Source organism: Homo sapiens, chromosome 17, assembly GCF_000001405.40.
Source record: "Homo sapiens chromosome 17, GRCh38.p14 Primary Assembly".
Lineage (NCBI taxonomy): Eukaryota > Metazoa > Chordata > Mammalia > Primates > Hominidae > Homo > Homo sapiens.
The window spans coordinates 16,671,754-16,695,783 of record NC_000017.11 but is presented as its reverse complement, the minus strand read 5'-3'; the positions used below and the strand labels follow the sequence as shown (position 1 = coordinate 16,695,783).

General features: G+C 42.4%; 1 protein-coding gene and 2 pseudogenes across 7 annotated transcripts in view, besides 2 other annotated features; all 3 read right to left on the bottom strand.

Moving 5' to 3' along the window:
* Positions 1 to 24,030, bottom strand: part of CCDC144A (coiled-coil domain containing 144A) — a 111,165-nt gene that overhangs the window by 82,098 nt on the left and 5,037 nt on the right. For 6 of the 7 annotated variants that reach the window (NR_130142.2, NR_167766.1, NM_014695.3 and 3 more), the window contains exons 1-2: positions 5,040 to 5,543; positions 2,735 to 2,805 (exon numbers count right to left, since the gene is read on the bottom strand). Coding sequence is in view for 5 of the 7 variants with exons in the window: in NM_014695.3 (NP_055510.1) it covers positions 2,735 to 2,805; positions 5,040 to 5,383 (415 nt within the window). In the remaining 2 variants the exon portion in view is untranslated. Of the gene's footprint in view, positions 1 to 2,734; positions 2,806 to 5,039; positions 5,544 to 24,030 lie in introns of those variants that run through there. The other variant, XM_017025429.3, reaches the window with a different exon arrangement.
* RNU6-405P (RNA, U6 small nuclear 405, pseudogene) lies at positions 3,877 to 3,986 on the bottom strand (annotated as a pseudogene).
* Positions 5,650 to 6,553: an enhancer, noted in NCBI's record as "H3K27ac-H3K4me1 hESC enhancer chr17:16592545-16593448 (GRCh37/hg19 assembly coordinates)". NCBI's record gives its function as "activates a minimal SCP1, AML or CMV promoter by ChIP-STARR-seq in primed H9 embryonic stem cells {active_cell/tissue: H9 hESC(primed)}" and the evidence as "EXISTENCE:reporter gene assay evidence [ECO:0000049][PMID:30033119]".
* Positions 8,341 to 8,841: an enhancer, noted in NCBI's record as "H3K27ac hESC enhancer chr17:16590257-16590757 (GRCh37/hg19 assembly coordinates)". NCBI's record gives its function as "activates a minimal SCP1, AML or CMV promoter by ChIP-STARR-seq in primed H9 embryonic stem cells {active_cell/tissue: H9 hESC(primed)}" and the evidence as "EXISTENCE:reporter gene assay evidence [ECO:0000049][PMID:30033119]".
* Positions 11,488 to 12,383, bottom strand: RNASEH1P2 (ribonuclease H1 pseudogene 2; annotated as a pseudogene).

The following is a 24,030-nucleotide window of genomic DNA, read 5'->3' as shown; positions in this document are numbered from 1 at the left end:
ACAGCTTTCATTCCTCACCACATAAAGTGTCTGGCACATATTTAACATAATAAATGATCACTATACGGTTCCAGAGGGCATCTAACACAGTAGTAGGCACTGAATAAATAATTCATCAAATAATTAAAGTGACAATGATAATAACAAGCTCCTGGGTTTTGTTGGTTTGTTTTTTTTCTTTTTTGAGACAGGGTCTCACTCTGTTACCCAGACACAAGTGCAGTGGCATGATCATAGCTCACTGTAGCCTCAAACAGCCAGGCTCAAGCAATCCTCCCACCTCAGCCTCCCAAGTAGCTGGAAGTACAGGCACCTGGCACCATGCCCAGCTAATGTTTTATTGTTTTTTAAAAAATTTAGTAGAGATGAGGTCTTGTCATGTTGCCCGGGCTGGTCTCGAACTTCTGGGCTCAAGTGATCCTCCCATCTCAGCCTCCCAAAGTGGTGAGATTACAGGCATGCACCACTGTGCTGGCCCCAGCAGTATTTTTAAATGTCTGTATTCTGTAACATTAGAAAAAAAATGCTTAGTACTAAAAGACATTTGATAATTATTTGTTAAGTGGACAAATGAATAAATGATTTCCTTGAAAATTCTGTTGAAAAAAACACAGAAGTTAAATAGAGAAAGCTCTATTCTATTATGAGCACCTCAAAGACCAAAACTATGTCTATTTCATGTTTGTCTCCCATAACGTGCAAAACCTAACTTAGAGAAGTTCTTTGATTAACATGTACTAAATTAAAGGTGTCCTCTTACAGTTCAGATTGTCCAATGCATTAGGCATCACATCTTGGAAGCACAGAAGCATTTTTTGTTATTGTGAAACATTTTTATACTTTCATTATAATTTGTTGAGCCTAGAGTTGGGCTATTTGAATATTTATTGTGATAATCTTTTGGCTAATGGTAACAGCATATCTTGTTCTAACAAAATTACTGTTAACATAGCAATTAACCAGCAGGTAGAAAAACACATCTTGTTCTAATGAAGTAAATATACCTCATTCGATTTCAAATTGGGGGAAAGTCAATAATAGTGACACCTTGTTGGTTTATAAGTATGTAACATGACCTGTTCTTCTCAACAAGGAATTGCTTTTCTGACTTCTGCACTCAGAAGGTCTCTTTAAAAAATAATTTCCCATTAGTATTAGTGCACATTGGGTATGTTTGGCAGGGTTTTGTTTGTGTTTTTGTTTTTTTCTGAGACAGGGTCTCACTCTGTCATCCAGGTTGTGATCATGATCACAGCTCACTACAGCCTTGACTCCCAGGCTCAAGCGATCCTCCCATCTCAGTCTCCCAAGTAGCTGGGATTACAGGTGTGCACCAAAACACCCAGCTAATTTTTTATTTGTTTTTGTAGAGATGTGGTCTCACTATGTCACCCAGGCTGGTCTGGAACTTCTGGACACAGGCGATCCTCCCACCTAGGCCTCCCAACTTGCTGGGACTACAGGTGTGGGCAGCACACCTGGCCATTTCACAGTTCTTATTGCCATTTGTTTATGGTGCCAGAAAGGTATTGCCGAGTTTCCAGTTTTGAAACTAATTTCTTTTTTTTAGTGACACAAATCACTATGTAATATAGTTAGCCTTTGAACAACACGGATTTGAACTGCAGGGGTCTACTTATGAGCAGATTTTCTCCCACCTCTACCACCTGAGACAGCGAAGACCAATCTTCCTCTTCCTCCTTCTCCTTAGCCTGCTCAACTTGAAGACTATGATGAAGAGTTATATAATGATCCACTTGCATTTAATGAACAGTAAGCGTATTTTTTCTGCCTTATGATTTTCTTAACAGTTTATTTCCCTAGCTTCCTTTATTGTAAGAATACAGCATATTAATACATATACCATACCAAACATATCTTAATTGACTGTTTATGTTATCAATAAGGCTGCTGGTCAACAGTTAGCTATTAGTAGTTACGTTCTTGGGGGAGTCAAAAGTTATACACAGATGTTTGACTGCAGAGGGAATCAAGCATCCCTAAATTCCACATTGTTAAGGGTCAATTGTGATTGATATTCATTTACTAAACATAAGTCATTTATTTTAAAAATTAAATAGAAGTTCCAATTTCATAACAAGTCTAATTCATTATAAGGTGACTATAAAGAAAACATACAACTTACTAACTCAAAAATATCTTTTTCTTGGCCGGGCGCGGTGGCTCACGCCTGTAATCCCAGCACTTTGGGAGGCCGAGGCGGATGGATCATGAGGTCAGGAGATCGAGACCATCCTGGCTAACACGGTGAAACCCCATCTCTACTAAAAATACAAAAAATTAGCCGGGCGGGGTGGCGGGCGCCTGTAGTCCCAGCTACTCCGCAGGCTGAGGCAAGAGAATGGCGTGAACCAGGGGGTGGAGCCTGCAGTGAGCCGAGATCGCACCACTGCACTCCAGCCTGGGCGACAGCGAGACTCCGTCTCAAAAAAAAAACAAAAAAAAACACTTTTTCTTATTTATACAAAAATATCACATAGGATTTTAGGGACCATAATTAATTTTTTTTCAGACCAGATTGTTTGAAAAAATAAATGACCTACAATTAACTTTTTAAATAATTGTGACATCTAACCTACCAAGAAATCTAACCTATCAAGAAAGAAATAAAGATTTTTTAAAACTGCTCTTTCATGATCAAAACTTCCTTACTCTTACTTCTTTTTTACCTATGGTAGGACCACCAAAAATAATTCACTATCAGAAGTCTTACCTGGATTGTTATTTTGAGGAAGACTTTCAGGTGTCTGTTTTTCCTTATATTCAGGAACTAGTTGCTGAATGCTATGGATAAAAATGTAATAAATGAAATTACTATTTTAAAACAAATGAAAAATACCAAATATATTAAATTTTTAGAGTATTTCAAACAATATCAGAGTTAATATCAGAACTTTAATTATCCCATATACTTCAATTTGTGAGTTCTACCAACTTCTCTTTAAGCTTCTGAAGAAGAAAAAAAGATGAAGTACTCATGAATTGAAGGGAGTATAGCTCAGTAAATTAACTCACATTAGCTTGGCATAATGGAAAGCGTCCTAGCTCTATTACCAGCAGCTATTTATTCTCTGACAAGTTGCTTCTCTTAGGCTCAATGTATTCTTCTAAAAAGCAAGGATTTTACTGCCTTATTTCACTAGGTTGTTAAAGATTTAACAAGAAAACGTTTTGTAAATGCTCAGAGAAACAGTGAAGCAATGAAATAATTTGTTCTTGAGCTTTATTGAGGAAATGGTTTTGGAATCACAAATAAAACCCAATGTGTATTTTTCCAGAGGTTCTAATATTCAAATGTTGCAGTTTTCCAAAACTGTTATTAAGTTCTAGTTTTATTAGTTCTATTCTTTGTGGCTTATAATTTGGGGCATCACAGCTAGTTCATAGTTTGTAACTAAATTTACTTATAAATATATTATTTCATCAAACTAGATAACAACACTGTCCACTATTACTGAGCTCATCAATCACGCCAAGGGGAGAAAGCTAATAGATGTCAAGACCTAGCTTGGACTACTGTTCCATACAGACTCAAACTCTGAATCGGCAGATCTTTGTTAGAAGGATGCTCAATCCCCATGTTCATCTCCAACTGACATGGAAAACAAAATGCTACTTTTCTTTTTCAGTTCCATGAAAGACATGCAAGTTGACATTCTCTCATTTCTGAGATACATACTGACAATATATTTGCACACAACATCCCACGTGTTACTCAGCTCCATTGATCACCTTACTGCATATTTTTGTAGTGAAAAATCACAATTTTAATATTAGGTGATACCCAGTTTGCTTTGACTCACACTGTCTTTGGAACTAGTCAGCAAATAGTCAAATGAACTTCTAGTGACTGCGCAAAATATGGACCACTTCAAAAATCTGTGCATCATCCTTATGCAGGCAGGGGCCATGCTAATTTCTCTCCATTTTGTTCCAATTTCAGTATATGTTTGCTGCTGAAGCAAGTTTTGTTTGTTTGTTTGTTTGTTTGTTTGTTTTAGACTGAGTCTCGCTCTGTCACCCAGGCTGGAGTGCAGTGGCGCGATCTCGGCTCACTGCAAGCTCCGCCTCCTGGGTTCATGCCATTCTCCAGCCTTAGCCTCCTGAGTAGCTGGGACTACAGGCGCCCACCACCACGCCCGGCTATTTTTTTTTTGTATTTTTTAGTAGTGACGGGGTTTCACCGTGTTAGCCAGGATGCTCTCAATCACCTGACCTCGTGATCCGCCCACCTTAGCCTCCCAAATTGCTGGGATTACAGGCATGAGCCACTGCACCCTGCCAAAGCTCTCATTTTATACATGGATATTCATGAGTCATGGATGAGACTTAGCTCTGTTAAATCCAACTAACATACTTGAGACTCAGAATTCTGGTGATGGCTTCCTGCCACAAATCTGGGAAAGGATAATATGGGACATTCCACGATCTAAGAAAAGGGTCCTCAGCATACAGATCTGGTAGCAATGAAAAAAGGAAACTCCTCTCTTTCTGCAACATTATTTGAACTGAACCCCGAGGGCCTAAAGGATAATTTATCATGAAGGTCTTAGCTAAGTCTAGGCTGAGACAAAAGCATAACAGGCGGGGTTTCACCATGTTGGTCAGCCTGGTCTCGAACTTCTGACCTCGTGATCTGCCCTCCTCGGCCTCCCAAAGTGCTGGGATTACAGGCATGAGCCACCGAGCTCGGCCAACATGAAGTTCTTAAGGATGGAAGGAACCTGAGCGACAGTAGAATATGTCTGCTGTATAATAGGTATTCAGCTTATGTTTGATGAATAAATTGAGAAAATGGATAAACACAGTTGGGAAGTGCAATATTTTTAAAGAAAACTCCTGTAAAGTAGACCAACACTTTTGCAATAGTAATAATCCTTTATATTTGATCCCGTCTCACTAAGAGGCCTGGGCCCCTGACCCCTCTGACGTTTCCCCATCCCGGGTGCCGTGGGGCCTGCGGGCACCAGAAAGCCAGTGTCCCCGACAGGACGGCGCATCCTTCGCCTGGCCATTACCTCTTCTTCCTATCCCTCTTGTCCACGCCAGTGTCTCCAGGAGCTAAGATGTGCTCCACCCCAGGGACGTCGCCCGACCGGGCAGCTCTGTGGAGCTCGCCAAGATCTTCCAGGCGGACGTCGTGCTGGGGCTGGTCTAAGGCGCCCTCACCGTGCTTGCTCTCGCTGCCGACGCTGTTTTTCCACCAGCTGTAGGGGAAGCCCGAGGACCACTGGTCCCCCGGGTAGCCCAAGTACCACTGGTCCCCCTGGCTCCCGACGCTAGGGGTCTTCCTCGTGGCGTAGACTGCCGGCTTCGGAGACCCCTCAGCCCCTCCCCGCTTTTCTCCACCCCAGGAGGCCATCAGTAGCGAGCTACTGCCTCGGCCACAACCTCCCAGCAGGATAGCCCGCGGTTTCCAATCTGCGAAAGGAGGACCGCCAAGCCAGAAATGCCAAGCCAAGCGATCACTGCCACGCCAAGCCAAGCGACCACCGCCAAGCCAACAGCCACCGCAAAGCCTCGTGGGTAAGGCCAAGCCAATCCGTTACAGACCAGTGCGCCTGCCCACCTGTGACATCACGGAACCTGTGACTTCACTGCATCTGCAGCTCCAGCCTCCCAGAAAAAGACTCCTTGGCCTGCAGGTGGCGCTGCAGCTCCAGCCTCCCAGAAAAAGACTCCTTGGCCTGCAGGTGGCGCTGCAGCTCCAGCCTCCCAGAAAAAGACTCCTTGGCCTGCAGGTGGCGCTGCAGCTCCAGCGCCAACCTGGGCTGGCTGGTCCTCCCTCGGAGGTTTCGGGGTGGCGGTGCCCAGCCTGCCTGTCATGAGTGCCGCTTCACAGCGCCGCCGGCGCACCTGCTCCTAGGCTTGCTCGGTTCAGGGGTACGGGTCAGTTCCGCCCCCGGCTTGGCCACTGCAGCAAAGTTGCCCTAGGGTCCGCGCTGCCAGGACGCAAGCGGAGTCAGATGGCTGGGTCAGAGCGGCCTGTCAGCCCGGCTGGAAGGGCCTGCCCGACGCCGCTGCCCGCCCAGCTCCTACTCGGCCTGCGCCTGGAGCCAGGGACCAGCTCTGGGCATTCTGCTGCCTTAGGATGGGGCCAAGCAGCCGCTCCCCGCCGTGTGCCGCAGCCGCTGCGCGCATCTGCCCAGGGTCCGTGCAGCTGGCGACCCGGGCGGGTCGGGGAACGCCTGGTGCCACCAGGATTGCTCGCCTCTAGTCCGTCCTGACCCTTCAGCCCGCGAGCACCAGTGAGATTGAAGAAAAGTGACGGCCAGGCGCGGTGGCTCACACCTGTAATCCCAGCACTTTGGGAGGTTGAGGCGGGCAGATCACTTGAGGTCAGGAGTTTGAGGCCAGCCTGGCCAACATGGTGAAACCCTCTCTACTAAAAATACAAAAATTAGTTGGGCGTGGTGGCGCGTGCCTGTAGTCCCAGCTACTCCAGAGGCTGAGACAGGAGAATCTCTTGAACCCGGGAGGTGAACGTTGCAGTGAGCTGATATCGTGCCACCAAACTCCAGCCTGGGCGACAGAGCAAGACTCCGTCTCAAAAAAAGAAAGAAAAGAAGGAAGGAGAGAACGAAGCAAAGAGAAGGAAAGAAGGAAGGAAGAAAGGAAGAAAGAAAGGAAGGAAGGGTGACAAAGGAGAATCTAGAGAGCACTCAAATACTAATTCTTGAGGACAATTAAGACAGATAGCATTATGAAAAACAGATTTTGTCACTGAAGCCTCAGGGCTTCAGCCTAGATCCTGCGCTGCTCACCCACAGAAAGCCAATCACTGAGATGAGTATTGCAAAGGAAGAAGGCTTTAATCAGATGCTGCAGCCGAGGAGATGGGAGCTCAGTCTCAAATCCCTCTCTCTGACCAACTAAAATTAGGGATTTTTAGTATAGCAAAGAAGAAATGTAACTATGTATAAGAAAACATGAACTAGAAAGGCGTAAGGAAGCAATCATTTACAAAATATCTGTGGCCGGGCGCAGTGGCTCCCACCTGTAATCCCAACACTTTGGGAGGCAGAGGCAGGTAGATCATGAGGTCAAGAGATCAAGACCATCCTGGCTAACATGGTGACCCCTTGTTCTCTACTAAAAATACAAAAATTAGTTGGGCGTGCTGGCACGTGCCTGTAGTCCCAGCTACTCGGGAGGCTGAGACAAAAGAATCGCTTGAACCCAGGAGGTGGAGGTTGCAGTGAGTCAAGATCATGCCACTGTACTCCAGCCTGGCGACAGGGCTAGACTCCATCTCAAAAAAAAAAAAAAAAAAAAAAACAGAAAAAGAAAAAAAGTATCACCCTGCCTCCTCAATCTTGGCATAATTCCCCCTATGAGTGGTTTCTGGGGTCTCAGTTGGCATTTAGTCACACGTATGACATTGCACATATCGTGTGCACATCTGCACAGCTCAGCAGTGTCCTGGGTAGGCCTTGAAGGGTGATCTTCACGTAAGCCTGTGGCCTGAGCAAGAAAGCTGCACACGGGCAGCGGAGGAACCAGCAGGAGCCCAGTCCTCTGTGGAAAATTCCAGCACCACCCGCAAGAGCAGCTGCAGTGGAGACTGTGACCTGACAAGGATATATGCATGAAGATGCTGGTCTGAAAACAGACTCAGTTTAAGGGTGGCACTTTGAAAAAATATTGATACATGTCAGTGAGAAAAAAATAATTAGAAACAAAATATATTTATTAGAAATATTACAGTCATTTATCATACACTTTCCTATGAATAGTTAAATACATCTAATTAGCATGTCATATCCAAAAGTGCTGGGTACAATCTAGTGTGCTCTTTATAGACACAAGGCCACAGATGTATCAACTACACTCAACTAATGTAGTTAAAGTTAGTGTGCTAAAAAAAAAATTAGTGTGCTACTCAGGATGCTACAGATTTAGCAAAACTCTAACCTGGATCAGAGGAATGAAATGCCCCGTGAATTGAGGCAACTGTAGATATTCAAAATGCTTCTAAAAAGGCTGTGAGGTTATGTCCTTTACTGCATGTCATTGGTAGGGCATCTCAAAATGGCACTCGAGCTTTGGAAGAATGAGAACTATTGCTGGATTTGACAGTGGGTCTGCATCTATGGGCCCGAGTCCTCCATCTCCACAAGCCGCCCCTCAGTGGGGAAGAGGAGGGGGAGACTAAGGGAGTCTCCGTAATGTTCGTGGGCAGCAGGGAAGAGAACATGGCAGAGATTCCTCACCGCTGGAGGGCTTGTCCCCTGGGTATGTGTGTTTTTGTTTAATACCCACTGGCATCTACTTGGGTTGGTCTCTACAAAAGCTGTAAAAAAACAAATGAATGAAAAAGGAAAACAAAAGACTAATATTGTTTTTGAAATGAAAGGGGCTAGGACAAGAGAAATTCCTGAGAATGTTATCCCTGCGGGGGGCGGCGGGGGAGGGGGATGGGCTACCATCAGACAAGGAAAATTCAATCCCTGTTCAGTGCAGAGAACAGCGACTTCTCACCTTGAAAAACTCCCCCACTCTACTGAGGCTTGCATTTTGCAGCTGTCTTTCATGTAAAAATTATACATAAAAAAAGGATCTTCAGAACAACCAAAGAATTTTAAATGACTACATACTGACTGAGGGAAGATGGAAAGAAACCTGGCTGTTGTGGCCTCTGAAAGCCTCAGGACAGAAACCGGGAATGGCACACTCTGCTGAGTATAGAAAATGTAAGATGCTGACCTTGTTTTCCCAGTTTACCAACTTTCCACCTTCACCTGGTGCTCTGAGTTCTGTTAAAAACAGACCTAAAAACCCTACCCCTTGGCCTAGCTGGGGTGAGGACTGCCTCCCCCAGGTCCTGCACCTCCACACGCCAGCGGATGGCCTGGGGGAGCCTACTAGCTGCTGTGCTAGAAGGCCTATTCCTGCATCCCTGAGGCCATCAGTCACAGTTCCAGGACCCCAGCAGAACCTTCCCTTCCCTGAAACACCGCCTGTATTTCTTTTCTTTGTGTGTGTGTGTGTGTGTGTGTGTGTGTGTGTGTGTGTTTGTGTGTGTGACAGAGGCAGAGGTTGCAGTGAGCCAAGATTATACCACTCCAGCCTGGGCGACGGAGTGAGATGCTCTCTCAAAAAAAAAACAATTTTTTTTTGTGGAGTCAGAGGTCTTGCCATGTTGCCCAGGCTGGTCCCGAACTCCTGGGCTCAAGCAATCCTCCCATCTCAGCCTCCCAAAGTGCTGGGATTACAGGCATAAGCCACCATACCTGACCACCATGTGTACTTCTAGGGACAGGATATAGCATTCCTCTTCTATATGCACACCCACTGGCAACAAAAAAAATGGTAGTCGGGGAAACTCCTTGAGTTATAAAAATAAATTGCACATGGCCTTTCATGTTTCTTTCCTTCTTTTTAACCTAAAGAGAGCAGGATACAGACAAAAATGGAGAGTTTGGCCACAGTCACTGGCAACTTGGGCTCCCATTGGAGAGGGGCTGGTATGGTGCCAGCATGGAGGGAGGGAAATTGCAACACCATTGCCCAGAGCTGGTTCTAGATGGTTTGCACATAATTACTAAAAACAGAGCCAATCACAGGCCAGGTGTGGTGGCTCACCCCTGAGTGAGCTGAAATCGCGCCACTGGCACTCCAGCCTGAGCAACAGAGCAAAACTCTGTCTCAAAAAAAAAAAAAAAAAAAAACAAAAAAAACAGCCGGGCTCGGTGGCTCATGCCCATAATCCCAGCACTTTGGGAGGCTGAGGCAGGTGGATTATCTGAGGTCAGGAGTTCGAGACCAGCAGGAGCAACATGATGAAACCCTCTCTCTACTAAAAATACAAAAAAAAAAAAAAAATAGCCAGATGTGGTGGTGGGCGCCTGTAATTCCAGCTACTTGGGAGGCTGAGGCAGCAGAATCACTTAAACAAAGGAGGCGGAGGTTGCAGTGAGCTGAGACGGCACCATTCCACTCCCGCCTGGGCAATAAGAATGAAACTCCGTCTCAAAATAAATAAGTAAAAATAAAAATAAAAAACAGAACCAATCACAGAAAACACTCCCACTCCCCCCGTAAAATCAGGAACAAGGCAAGGATTCCCTTTTTCATTTGTCCTATTTAAAACTGTACTGGACTGTAATCCCAGCACTTTGGGAGGCCGAGGCAGGTGGATCACCTGAGGTCAGGAGTTCAAGACCGGCCTGGCAAACATGTTGAAACTCCGTCTCTACTAAAAATACAAAAAAATTAGCCAGGCGTGGTAGCAGGTACCTGTAATCCCAGTTACTCAGGAGGCTGAGGCAGGAGAATCACTTGAACCCAGGAGGCGGAGTTTGCAGTGAGCCGAGACCACGCCATTTGCACTCCAGTCTGGGTGACAGAGCAAGACTATCTCAAAAACAAAACCAAAAACAACAACAACAAAAAACGGCGTTGGAAGTTCTAGCTAGTGCAAAAAGGCATGGAAAAGAAATAAATGACATAAAACAAATGTAATCCCAGCACTTTGAGAGGCCAAGGCAGGTGGATTGTTTGAGGTCAAGAGTTCAAGACCAGCCTGGGTAACATGACAAAACCCCATCGCTACCAAAAACACAAAAACCAGCCAGGTGTGGTGGCATATGCCCGCAATCCCAGATACTTGGGAGGCTGAGGCATGAGAATCACTTGAACCCAGAAGGCAGAGGTTGCAATGAGATCACGCCATAGCCTGGGGTGACAGAGTAAGACCTGTCTCAAAAACCAAACCAAACCAAACCAAAAAAATGTATTACTTGTATGATAAGGAAAAGAATCAAATGCATGTACATGGGTGGGTTTGTTTTGTTTTTTTGTGACAGGGTCTCGCTCTGTCGCCCAGGCTAGAGTGCAGTGGTACAATCTTGGCTCACTGCAACCTCGACCTCCCCAGCTCAAGTCATCCTCCCACCTCAGCGTCCTGAGTAACTAGACTACAGGCATGCACCACTACACCTGGCTAATTTTTTATTTTTTCTAGAAACAGAGTCTCACCATGTTAACCAGGCTGGTCTCAAACTTCTCGGCTGAAGTAGTCAGCTCATTTGGGCCTCCTAAATTGCTGGGTTACAGATGTGGACCACTGAGCCCAGTCTCAAATTTTTTTTTTTTTTTTTAGATGGAGTCTTAGAGTCTCATATCGTTGCTCAGGCTGGAGTGCACTGGCGTGATCTCAGCTCACTGCAACTTCAGCCTCCCAGGTCAAGTGATTCTCCTGCCTCAGGCTCCCGAGTAGCTGGGACCACAGGCGCACACCACCACGCCTGGCTAATTTTTGTACTCTTTAATAGAGATGGGGCTTCACCATACTGGCCAGGCTGGTCTTGAACTCCTGACCCCGTGATCCATCCACCTCAGCCTCCCAAAGTGCTGGGACTACAGGCGTGAGCCACCGCGCCCAGCCTCAAATATGTTTTAATATATATTATGATATTAACTTCATGGAAATTGTTATGTCATTAAACCACTTACATAAACCATTAATCTCTAGTAAACTTAGCTTATTTGGTCACAATAGCCATGGGACATGAACATTTAAGATACTCGCCCACTGAATGTCCATCCCCTGGGTCAGCCTCTCCAGTGCCACGAAGTCCTCTTTGTTGATCACCTCTTTCCCTGCACTTGTCTTCCACCCATTTTTCTTCCAACCTTGAACCCAGTTAGTTATACCATTTATCGTAAACATACTGTCTGTATACAGAACCAGTTTATTGATTTTCTGAGTCTGTGCTTGTTCAATGGCCTTGCAGGCTGCATGAATTTCCGCTCTTTGGTTTGTCTGCCACCCAGGAAGTCTAATGCCTACAGTTAAAGGATAGCCCGGCCCCCAGTAAACGCGGATTCCTGCTCGTGGCTTTCTACGCCCATTACTGGAGCAGCAGCCATCAGCGTAGACGACGACGAAGTCTCCCATGTAGGAAAACGTGTCTCTGCTAACTGGAGGCGCCGGCTTCACGCTCGGCTTCACGCTCGGCTTCACGCTCGGCTTCATGTGCTTGCATATGGCTCTGCGCTTTCATCTCCATCTCCATCCAGTGGCTCACGGAGTCGCTTGCTGGCTTTCGTCTCCGATTCTTGTCCATGTTGATTTTCCTGCCCTTCTGAAACTTCCGGGCTTGCAGATTTCCTGACAAAGTCCCAGGCCTCATCCTCTGTGGCAAACTTCTTAAATCTGGCAGCAGGAAACCGGTCCACCTGTGCTTTGCACTCATTCCCGGTCAGAAAGACCGCGGACTTGCCGCCCCTCCTCACGGCATAGAACATCCCGAACCCGCGAGAGCGGCGGCAGGGCAAGGCGGCCAAGGCGACTCTGCCGCCAGGGACAGAAGCCGGCTCATCGCTCACTCCCGGCACCAGGAAGCATTTTGACTCCCAAGAACCACTAATTTTACAAAGAGAGTTGTCCTAAACTGTGACAAGTTTTCCAGTACTTAATTCTTTTTACAATTCATTCGTTTTTTAAATGACAAATAAAATTGTATATATGTTGTGTAAAACCTGTTTAGAAATAGGTAGATGGTGGAATGATTACATTGCGCTCAGGAACATATGCATACTTACTTTTTGTGGTGAGAACCCTTCTTGATTTTCAAGAATACAATACATTAACTGCAGTCACCATGTTGTGCAATGTATCTCTTAAACTTATTCCTCCTGTCTAACTACACTTTTGAATGATTTCACCGTCTCCCCAAACCCCTGCCTTCCACCCCTGGTAACCTCCATTCTACTCTCTGCTTCTGTGAGTAGAAGCAGGAGGCTGGAGAATTGCTTGAACTCAGGAGGCAGAGGTTGCAGTGAGCTGAGATCGAGCCGCTGCACTCCAGCCTGCGTTACAGAGCAAGACTCTGTCTCAAAAAAAAAAAAAAAAAAAAAAAAAAAAAAAAAAAACAGAGAATCCAGAGATCAGACATTCCTTTTAGTAAGGACTCCAATATGGTTTCTCACCTACTCACTACAACAAAATTGCTCTTCTCAAAGCACAAACGATAGTCATATTGTTAAATTATGAATTAAAGCATAATTCCTCAGCCTTTGTCTTAATTTATGTATCAGCAGCATTTGACACAGGTGATCTGTCCTTTTTGCAAAACTTTCTTTGATAGAATTCCAGAACACTTAACCCACTTTCCCCTGACATTTTTTATAATTACCCCTAGTCCTTTTTTGCTGTTTTTTTCTCACCTTTACTATTTTTTAAATGTTAGAGAAGCACTAGGCTCAGGACCTGGACTTATCTTTCTTTTATTTACTTTCTTACTAATTTTTGTGTCATTAATTTCCTGATATTTCATATTATACCTCAACACTAGACTACACCCAGCACCGTCTGACTTCTTCACTTGGGTGTCAGTCAGGAATCTCAAAATGAAGGTCCACATGGAGCCTCCAATACTCCCCAGACTTGCTCTTCCCCTATCTGTTTAATGGCAACTCCCATTTTATAGTTTCTCAGCTCAATATTCTTGATATCCCCTTTTAGTTCTCTCTGTATCTGTCTGGTTCTCATTCTCTCTCTCTCTGTCTCTCCATCTCACACACACACACACACACACACACACACACACACACCCATTTTCAGATCTGTCGTGTATGGAAAACCTGCCAGCTTTGCCTTTAAAGTGCAGTAATTCCAAATGGTGTTTTCAAATTCACCTTCCCACCCTCACCACTTGGTAACTACACTACTTCCCTCACACGGTCAGGGCTCTACTGCAGACATTTCTTGGGGGAAATAATGAGAACTATTATAAATTCTTATTTCAGGCACCCTCAAAATTATAGGCTAGCCATATTCTATATGAATTTAAGCTTTTATCATTGCCCTTTTTTTCATTCCAGTCTCTACACAGCAACCACAGTATGCAATTTTTTAGAATTCCAAGCCGTATCATAACACACTTTTTTTTTTTTTGAGACGGAGTTTGGTTCTTGTTACCCAGGCTGGAGTGTAGTGGCGCAATCTGGGATCACCGCAACCTCCACATCCCAGGTTCAAGCAATTCTCCTGCCTCAGCCTCCCGAGTGGCTGGATTATAGGCGTGCGCCACCACACCCGGCTAATTTTTTGTATTTTTAGTAGAGACGGGGTTTCTCCATGTTGGCCAGACTGGTCTCGAACTCCCAACTTCAGGTGATCCACCTGCTTCAGCCTCCCAAAAGTGCTGGGATTACAGGCGTGAGCCACCATGCCCGGCCAACGCTCCTGTTTTAAAGTACCTGCGCTATTACTTCTTTTCTCCCTCATTAGAATTTAAGCTTAACAAACCTGGGTAACTTTACATACTTTTCCACTGATCTGTCTCCATGAGCTGGAGATCACTTAGTGTAAGGTAAATGATCAATAAATGTTTTCAAATAACAGAATCAATTATTAATAGTTTTCTTTCTTTGAGTATACATTTAGACTTTCAAAAATCAAGAAAATAGATTGGTCAAGAGATTTCCATTTGTTTTGATTTTGTTATCCATTGATTAGATTAGCTGTGTTAGTATAGATTTCAGTGTGGGAAGCTGTAAGCATTTCCTAAATTTTAAAATGAAAGGCATGGGATTTAAATATCCATTCCTTTTATTTAAGGAATAAAAAAAGACAAGCCTAGCTTTTAAAATATATTTTATATATGTAAACTATCTAAATTTATTTTTCTCTTTATCCCTGAATACTTTTTCAAGTTATTCATCTCATTTTTAAAAATCTACCTCGATAACATTTTAAAATATATATGCAACTTCATTAAGAATATCTTTGTTCCACTGAATGGCTTGTCAAATAATACATTAGCAGTACAATTTCCTCATGATTCTTAGACTGGTTTGATTAAATTTATAGATTTCCTACTCTCAACTCATAAATTCATTCAAGTATAATACATCCTACTTGATCTTTGTGGGGTTTTCATACCATATAGTTATTATTAAAATTGATTTTTGATATTTGAATCAACTTCATAATTGTATTGTTGGTTAGATTGGTCGGTAGAATCCTTTTTTGTTTTGGTTCTGTTGTTTGTTCATTACAGAGTGGCTTTGCTACTGTAGAGCTTGAAACATTTTTTTTTTGTTTTATTTCCTTCCTTTTTTCTTCCTTCTTTCTCTCTCTCTCTGTCTCTCCCTCCCCCACTCCCTCCCTCCCTTTCTTCCTTCCTTCCCTCATTCCTTCCTTCCTTTTTCTTTATTTCTCTCTCTCTCTTTCTCTCTTTCTTTCTCTCTCTCTCTTTCTTTCTTTCTTCAGGTTTTGCTCTGTTGCCCAGGCTGGAGTGCAGTGGTGTTAACAAGACTCACTTAAATTTTTTTTAACAGAAATTTATCTATCTTACATCAACCAAATTTCAGTGTAACCAATATTTCTTTTAAGTGAAAAATTAAATCTTTACCATCTGTTAGCCTCAACACTTTACCTTCTGCAGCCTCAATTTTTCTGTCTCCAGCAATCCTCCCATCTCAGCCTCTTAAGTAACTGGGACTACAGGTAGTGCCACCATGCCTGGCCAATTTTTGTAATTTTTTGGAGAGATGGGGTTCACCATGTTGCCCAGGCTGGTCTCGAATGCCTGGACTTAAGTGATCCTCCCACCTCGGCCTCCCAAAGTGCTGGGATTATAGGCATGAGCCACCATGCCCAGCCAAAAGGTTGGAACATTTTCTAAATTGGAAAACAAAGCGCATGGCATTTAAATACTTATTCCTTAAAATTTGGAAGACATGTTAACACCATATAAACCCAGAGCCTGTATTTTTAGATTAGTAATATGTAGATATTTTCAATTTCTTCTAAAGTTTAAAAAAAATAAATATTTTGTATTCAGAGAATTCTTTATAACAGAAGGTAAACATTTTTCACTTAAAAGAAATGTGATTACTTTGAAAAGAAATTTGGTTAATGTAAGTTAGATTAATTTTTGTTTAAAAAATAATTTAAGAAAAATAATGCTCAAAGAGCAGTGGTCATGGCATTTATTCCAGAGAGAGGAAGTTTAGCCTGATCTGCCTGTAACAACAAAAGTACATGGATCAAGATAATTCTATAGGGACATAGATTAAAAGATAACATACTTTTTTATTTTAAAAACCATGATAACTTTTTTTACATGTATTAAATGTGAGAGAACAAACAGCATAAAAAATGAACTTTTGGGGGGATATAAACAAGTACTGAGAACAGTGTGAAGAATAAAATTCTCATCCTGGCTTGGTGTGGGCAGAACCTCACAGCCCGAGAACAAGTCCAGTGTGTGGTGGTGTTAAGGCCCCTCTGTGTAAAAGCTGTCCTCATTTACCGAGAATTGAGGTCTCAGGAAAAAAAAAAAATTACTAACCTCAACACGAAATGATTGGTTCATCATTTGATATACCCTGTGCCTTTATAACATATACAATTGTGTTGTCATTCTATAAGGTTTATCATTTGTTACATTTAAAACCAGAATAATTTCAAATTTGAAGTGAAATAAGTCCCTTAGAGAAACAAATTTCAAAATACACCCCCTACCTATCCATATCTATATCATCTATGTCTGTGTTAGGCCATTTTTATATTGCAAAAAGCAAAAACATCCTTCTAGGCCTTCTAAATTTTATAGGATAACACAAACATTGATGCAATGGTGATAGACAAAGATGGAGAAAATCACTTGAGGCCAGGAGTTCAAGACCAGCTTGGGCAACAAAGTGAGACCCCCCCCCGCCATCTCTACAAAAACAACAACAAAAAAAGACAATGCAGGGCGCAGTGGCTCACGCCTGTAATCCCAGCATTTTGGAAGGCCGAGGCGGGCGGATCACCTGACGTTGGGAGTTTGAGACCAGCCTGACCAACATGGAGAAACCCGCCCTCTACTAAAAATACAAAATTAGCCGGGCGTGGTGGCACACGCCTGTAATCCTAGCTACTTGGGAGGCTGAGGCAGGAGAATTGCTTGAACCCGGAAGGCAGAGGTTGACATGAGCCAAGATTGCGCCATTGCACTCCAGCCTGGGCGACAAGAGCAAAACTCCGACCAAAAAAAAAAAAAAAAAAAAACAAATTAGCCAGGCTTGGTGGCACATGCCTATAGTCCCAGCTACTTGGGAGGCTGAGATGGCACGATTGCCACAGCCCAGGAGGTCAAGGCTGCAGTGAGCTGTGATCACACCACTGCACTCCAACCTGGGCCACAGAGCAAAACTCTGTCAAAAAAAAAAAAAAAGAAAAGAAAAAGAAAAAAAGAAGAAAGAACAGAGATTCAAAATTCAGTTCTGTTTCCCCCTTATCTGAGGTCTGCATGCCAGGGTATCCATTTGGTGGGGCTTCGGGTTTCTGAAAAACAACTCAGGGACTTGTGTTAAAATGTTACTATTAGTTTCTATAGGGAACCAAACATCTCACAACTCTAACTGCCTTGGCTATTGTTTTAAGCTACTATTATGATCTTGTTTATCAAGTTGCTCATTACTTTTCAGGGCCAGCTGGGTGCCTGGAATTTCCCTTGAAGGAACTCAAGATTTTCCTTTATTTCCAGTCTTGTTGGAGAGTGGGAGGAAGGAGGCCCCTAAGTCGGATGGCTGCTTTATCTCAGTGGTAGCTTTTCTGGTCAGTTTTCAGATCAGGGGATGTAGAACATTCACAAAACAATCCACACTGCTTTGGGGATAAATTATGAATGGTTTGTACATTAAAACTCCAACGATCCCAAAGCACCTACCCTATTTTAAAGCATAGTAGCCATTATGATACAAGCCAGTTTTACAATGTCAAATTCATTCTGAGTAGAGTGTGGGAAAGGACGAATTAGAAAAACAGAATAGGTTGAAACCAAACCAATCATCCCTTGTTTTAAGTGGAATCAAGTTATCCAATGACTCTGTGGCCCAAAATCAGTCAAATTAATTAATTTATCAAATCCTGATAAATTAGGTGTCATGACACTGATGTTTGCATGTATATACAATTTACCTCCTGCTTTCATTTTTTTTTTTTTCTTTTTTTGAGATAGAGTTTCACTCTGATACCCAGGCTGGAGTGCAGTGGCATGATCTCCGCTCATTGCAACATCTGCCTCCCGGGTTCAAGTGATTAGCCTCCTGAGTAGCTGGGATTACAGGCACCTGCCATTTTGTATTTTTAGTAGAGACGCGGTTTCACCATGTGGCCAGGCTGGTCTCAAACTCCTGATCTCAGGCGATCCACTCGCCTCAGCCTCCCAGAGTTGCTGAGATTACAGGCCTGAGCCTAATCCCATTCATGGGGTCTCTGCTTCATGAAGTAATCACCTCCCAAGGCCCCACCTCCAAAGACCATCACATAGGGAATTTGATTTTAACACACGAATTTGAGGGGGACAATAAGATTTGGTCTACAGCATCCGGTCACCCTGAGCCATCTGCACTCACAGGAAATCTATAACCTTCTATAAGTATTTGCTGGTCCCCTCTGGGTTTAGGGAAATCTTTAATTGCAGCTCTTGATTCAGCTGGGCCCAAGCTTAAATTCTACATTTGCCCGCATAACTTGTTCATGGAACAGACGGAACTTTAGAGGCAACTGACCATTTGGAGTTTTAGGAGAATTGGTGAGGGAGGGCTTGGGATCTGGACTAGAAGAAGTGGAGGGAAGAGAGGACGGACGAAGGTGCAGAAGGAGAGAAGGCAGAATGCAAAAGAGGAAGAGGACATGTGGATATAGGGGTCAACTGGAGGGCAAGGAAGGTAATTTTCTTTGCATTGTAACCTCGGACCACATGTGACGTCAGAATCACCTGAGGGAGACATTTTTCAATGTATATTCCTGGGTTCTGGAAATTTTGATTTCATAAATCTGGAGTTGTGCCCATTTATCTATTTATTATTATAATTTTGGATAATTCTGATGCAATTAGACAACACAGCAGAGTTTGAAAACCAGATGTACAAACCAGATGTATGTTTGGTTTGGGATGTACATCTGGAAGACATTCGATTATATAAAATAATCACAGAACAGTGAGGGGGAATTGTTTATTTTAAAAATGCTTGAATATAATTCAACTCTTCCTGTATATGTGGTTTGACCACAGAGTTTGTTTCTGCAGTACTAAGATTGGAAATGTGCAGAGTGTTTTTAAAAAAACAAGTAGAAGAAAGAAGTTGAAAAGAAAATTGACAATTGTCTGGTAAGAAGAGAAAGGAAAGGAAGCAGCATATTTTTGTACATTATTTGATGGTGTCTAAATTATAAGTCAAAATGCTATTTCTAAAAAAGCCAATTTAATACAAGTTTTGTTTTTTGTGTTTTTTTTTTTTTTTGGAGACGGAGTCCCGCTCTGTCACCCAGGCTGGAGTGCCGTGGCCCCATCTCTGCCCACTGCAAGCTCTGCCTCCCAGGTTCACACCATTCTCCTGCCTCAGCCTCCCGAGTAGCTGGGACTACAGGCGCCTGCCACCACGCCCAGCTAATTTTTGTATTTTAGTAGAGACAGGGTTTCACCATGTTGGCCAGGCTGCTCTTGAACTCCTGACCTCAAGCAATCCACCTGCCTTGGCCTCCCAAAGTGGTGGGAATACAGACATGAGCCACCGCACCCAGCCTGAGAACTATTATACACTCTTATTTCAGGGACTCTCAAAATTATAGGCTAGCCATATTCTATATGAATTTAAGCTTTATCATTGCCCTTTTTTTCAATCCAGTCTCCACAAAGCAATCACAGTATGCAATTTTTAGAATTCCAAGCCTTATCATAATACTCATGTTTTAAAGTCCCTGCGTGGGCCGGGCGCAGTGGCTCATGCCTGTAATCCCAGCACTTTGGAAGTCCGAGGCGCGGGGATCACGAGGTGAGGAGATCAAGACCATCTTGGCTATCACGGTGAAACCCCGTCTCTACTGAAAATTAAAAAAAAAAAAATTAGCTGGGCTTGGTGGCGGGCGCCTGTAGTCCCAGCTACTTGGGAGGCTGAGGCAGGAGAATGGCGTGAACCCGGGAGGAGGAGCTTGCAGTGAGCCGAGATGGGGCCACAGCACTCCAGCCTGGGCGACAGAGCGAGATTCCGTCTCAAAAAATAATAATAATTTAAGCTTAACGAAGCTGGGCAACTTTATGTATTTTTCCACTGATCTATCTCCATGAGCTGGAAATCACTTAGTGGAAGGTAAATGATCAGTAAATATTTTCGAATAAGAGAATCAATTATTAATAGTTTTCTTTCTTTGAGTATACATTTAGACTTTTAAAAATCAAGAAAATAGATTGGTCAAGAGAATTCCTTTTTTTTTTATTTTGTTTTCCGTATGTTATATTAGTTGTGTTAGTATAAATTTCAGTGTGGGAAGCTGTAAGCATTTCCCAAATTTTAAAATGAAAGGCATGGGATTTAAATATCTGCTCCTTTTATTTCAGGAATAAAAAAAAAGACAAGCTTATCTTTTAAAATATATTTATATATGTAAACAACAATCTAAATTTATTTTTTCTCTCTTTATCCCTGAATACTTTTTCAAGTTATTAATGTCCTCAGTTTTAAAAATCCACTTTTTTTTTTTTTTTTCAAGATGGAGTCTTGCTCTGTCGCCCAGGCTGGAGTGGAGTGGCACCATCTCGGCTTACTGCAACCTCCACCTGCCAGGTTCAGGCGCTTCTCTTGCCTCAGCCTCCCCAGTAGCTGGTATTACAGGCACGTGCCACCACACCCGGCTGATTTTTGTATTTTTAGCAGAGATGGCGTTTCATCATGTTGGCCAGGCTGGTCTCGAGCTTCTGGCCTCAGGTGATCCATTCACCTCAGCCTCCCAAAGTGCTGGGATTACAGGCATGAGCCACCACGCCCGGCCTAAAAAATCCATTTCAATGGTAACATTTTAAAATATATATGCAACTTCCTTAAGAATGTCTTTGTGTTCCACTGAATAACTTGCCAAGTAATACATTGGCAGTACAATTTCCTCATAAATCTTCAATTTGTTTGATTAGATTTATAGATTTCCTATTCTCAACTCATAATTTCATTCAAGTATAACACATCCTACTTGACCTTTGTGGGGTTTTCATACCATATATTTATTATTGAAATTGGTTTTGATATTCAAATCAGAAGTTTATCATATTGTTGGTTAGATTGTTTTGGTTCTGTGGTTTATTCATTACAGAGTGGCTTTGCTACTGTAAAGCTTGAAACATTTTCTTTCTTTGGTTTCTTTCTTTCCCTCCTTCCCTCCCTCCCTTCCTTCCCTCACTTTTTCTTTCTCTTTCCCTCCCTCCCTCCCTTCGTTCCTCTTTCTTTCGACAGGTTTTGCTCTATCACCCAGGCTGGAGTGCAGTGGTGCTAACAAGGCTCACTTAAAATTTTTTTTAACAGAGATTTATCTATCTTACATTAAGCAACTTTCTTTTCAATGTAACCAATGTTTCTTTTAAGTGAAAAATTAAATATTTATCATCTGTTAGCCTCGACACTTTACCTTCTGCAGCCTCAACTTTTCCGGCTCCAGCAAACCTCCCCTCTCAGCCTCTCAAGTAGCTGGGAATACAGGTGGTGCCACCATGCCTGGACAATTTTTGTAATTTTTTGTAGAGATGAGATTTCACCATGTTGCCTAGGCTGGTCTGGAACACCTGGGCTCAGGTGATCCTCCCACCTCAGCCTCCCAAAGTGCTGGGAATACAGGCATGAGCCACCATGCCCAGCCAAAAGGTTGAAACACTTTCTAAATTTGGAAACAAAGTGCATAGCATTTAAATACCTATTCCTTAAAATTTGGAAGACATGTTAACAGCATGGGCCTGTATTTTTAGATTAGTACATGTAGATATTTTCAATTTCTTCTAACGTTAAAAAAAATAAATATTTTGTATTCAGAGAATTCTTGATAACAGAAGGTAAATATTTAATTTTTCACTTAAAAGAAATGTAGTTACTTTGAAAAGGAATTTGGTTACTGTAAGTTAGATACATTTCTGTTTAAAAAATAATTTAAAAAAAATAATGCTCAAAATGTGGTGGTCATGGCATTTATTCCAGACAGAGGAATTTTATCTTGTTCTGCCTGTAATAACAAAAGTATATGGATCAAGATTATTCTATAGGGACATAGATTAAACGATAGTATAAAATTTTATTTTAAAAACGAAGATAGGCCGGGCGTGGTGGCTCACGCCTGTAATCCTAGTACTTTGGGAGGCTGAGGCAGATGGATCACCTGAGGTCAGGAGTTCGAGACCAGCCTGACCAACATGGAGAAACCCAGTCTCTACTAAAAATACAAAATTAGCCGGGCGTGGTGGCACATGCCTGTAATCCCAGCTACTCGGGATGCTGAGGCAGGAGAATCGCTTGAACCCAGGGGGCAGAGGTTGCGGTGAGCCACTGTGGCGCCACTGTACTCCAGCCTGGGCAACAAAAGTGAAACTCCGTCTCAAAAAAAAAAAAAAAATGAAGATAACTTTTTGATACATGTATTAAATGTAAGCGAATAGCAAACAGCATAAAAAATGAACTTTTGGGGGGATATTATGGGATACAAACAAGTACCGAGAACAGTATGAGGAATAAAATTCTCATCCTGGCTTGGTGTGGGCAGAACCTCACAGTCTGAGAACAGCCCTAGTATGTGGTGGTGTTAGGGCCCCTCTGTGTAAAAACTGTTCTCATTTACTGAGAATTGAAGTCTCAGTAAAAAAAGAAAATGCTACCAACCTCAACACAAAATGATTGGTACATCATTAGATATAACCTGTGACTTTATAACATGTACAATTGTGTTATCATTCTATAAGGTTTATCATTTGTTAAATTTAAAACTAGAATAATTTCAAACTTGCAGTGAAATAAGTCCCTTCGAGAACTAAATTTCAAAATGTGACCCCCTATCTATCTATATCTCTATCATCTGTATCTGTGTTAGGCCATTTTTTGTATTGCAAAAGCAAAAGCATCCTTCTAGGCCTTCTAAATTTTAAAGGATCACACAAATATTGACACAATGGTGATAGACAAAGATAGACGTTAATATTATTTGGAAAACAGTTCCATTTATAGTATTATGAGCAAATTCTTAGAATTAGACTAGAAAAATATGAAGTCATCTAGGGACTGATTGTACACACAGTGCTTTTCACTGAGGAAACCATCTCATAATTTCTGTTGTATATTTTTACTACAATGATAAATTATTGGTTTTGAGTTTCGATGTGTTCATTAAATATAGGTTAATGTTACTGTGTTTTGCCAGGTTATATAAATTGTTTCCATTTTACATTTGTTTTGTTTCTCACTTTTATTGTTCTAATAGGAATTTATTTTAGGCAAACACAAACATTTCATTATAGAAATTTTGACATGTCCCAGGTTTTCTTGTTTTTGTTTTTGTTTTTTTGAGATGGAGTTTTGCTTTTGTCCCCCAGGCTAGAGTGCAATGGCGTGATCTTGGCTCACTGCAACCTCCACCTCCCAGGTTCAAGCCATTCTCCTGCCTCAGCCTCCTGAATAGCTGGGATTACAGGAGTGAGCCACTGTGCCCGGCCGACATGTCCCAGGTTTATCTGATCTACCAAACATACACATAAAATCAGAGGAAAGAAAATGTGCAATTGATGTCACACATCAGGGATACCAGTAAGGGTCACAGTGACATATTTTACTTCCAATTTGTGAGCAAAGGTGCCAGTAAATTCTGATAGGAGGCAGCAATACTTTCTCTAAATTCCTATTAAAAATCCTTAAGTTCTTTTAAAAGCTGGGAAGTGGCATGGTTGGGGGGATGTGTATTACAAAACGGTAACTCATGAAAATTAGCTATAAATCTAGGCTATGACAGGAGCAGCAAGAATAGATGTAGCTTTACTTAAACTGTACTTGAAAATTATTTCATCATCATTTATAGATCCTTTAACATAATATTTAATTAGCATATATCCTAATAAAGGGCAGAAGTACAGTCAAAATAATTTTTATATAAGATAACATATGTTAATACATATGGTTTTTTCTTGTTTGTTTCAGCCTGTCTCAGAATTGTGAAATAGGTAAGTGAATGACAGAAATAGTCTCATTGTTAAAAATGAGAAT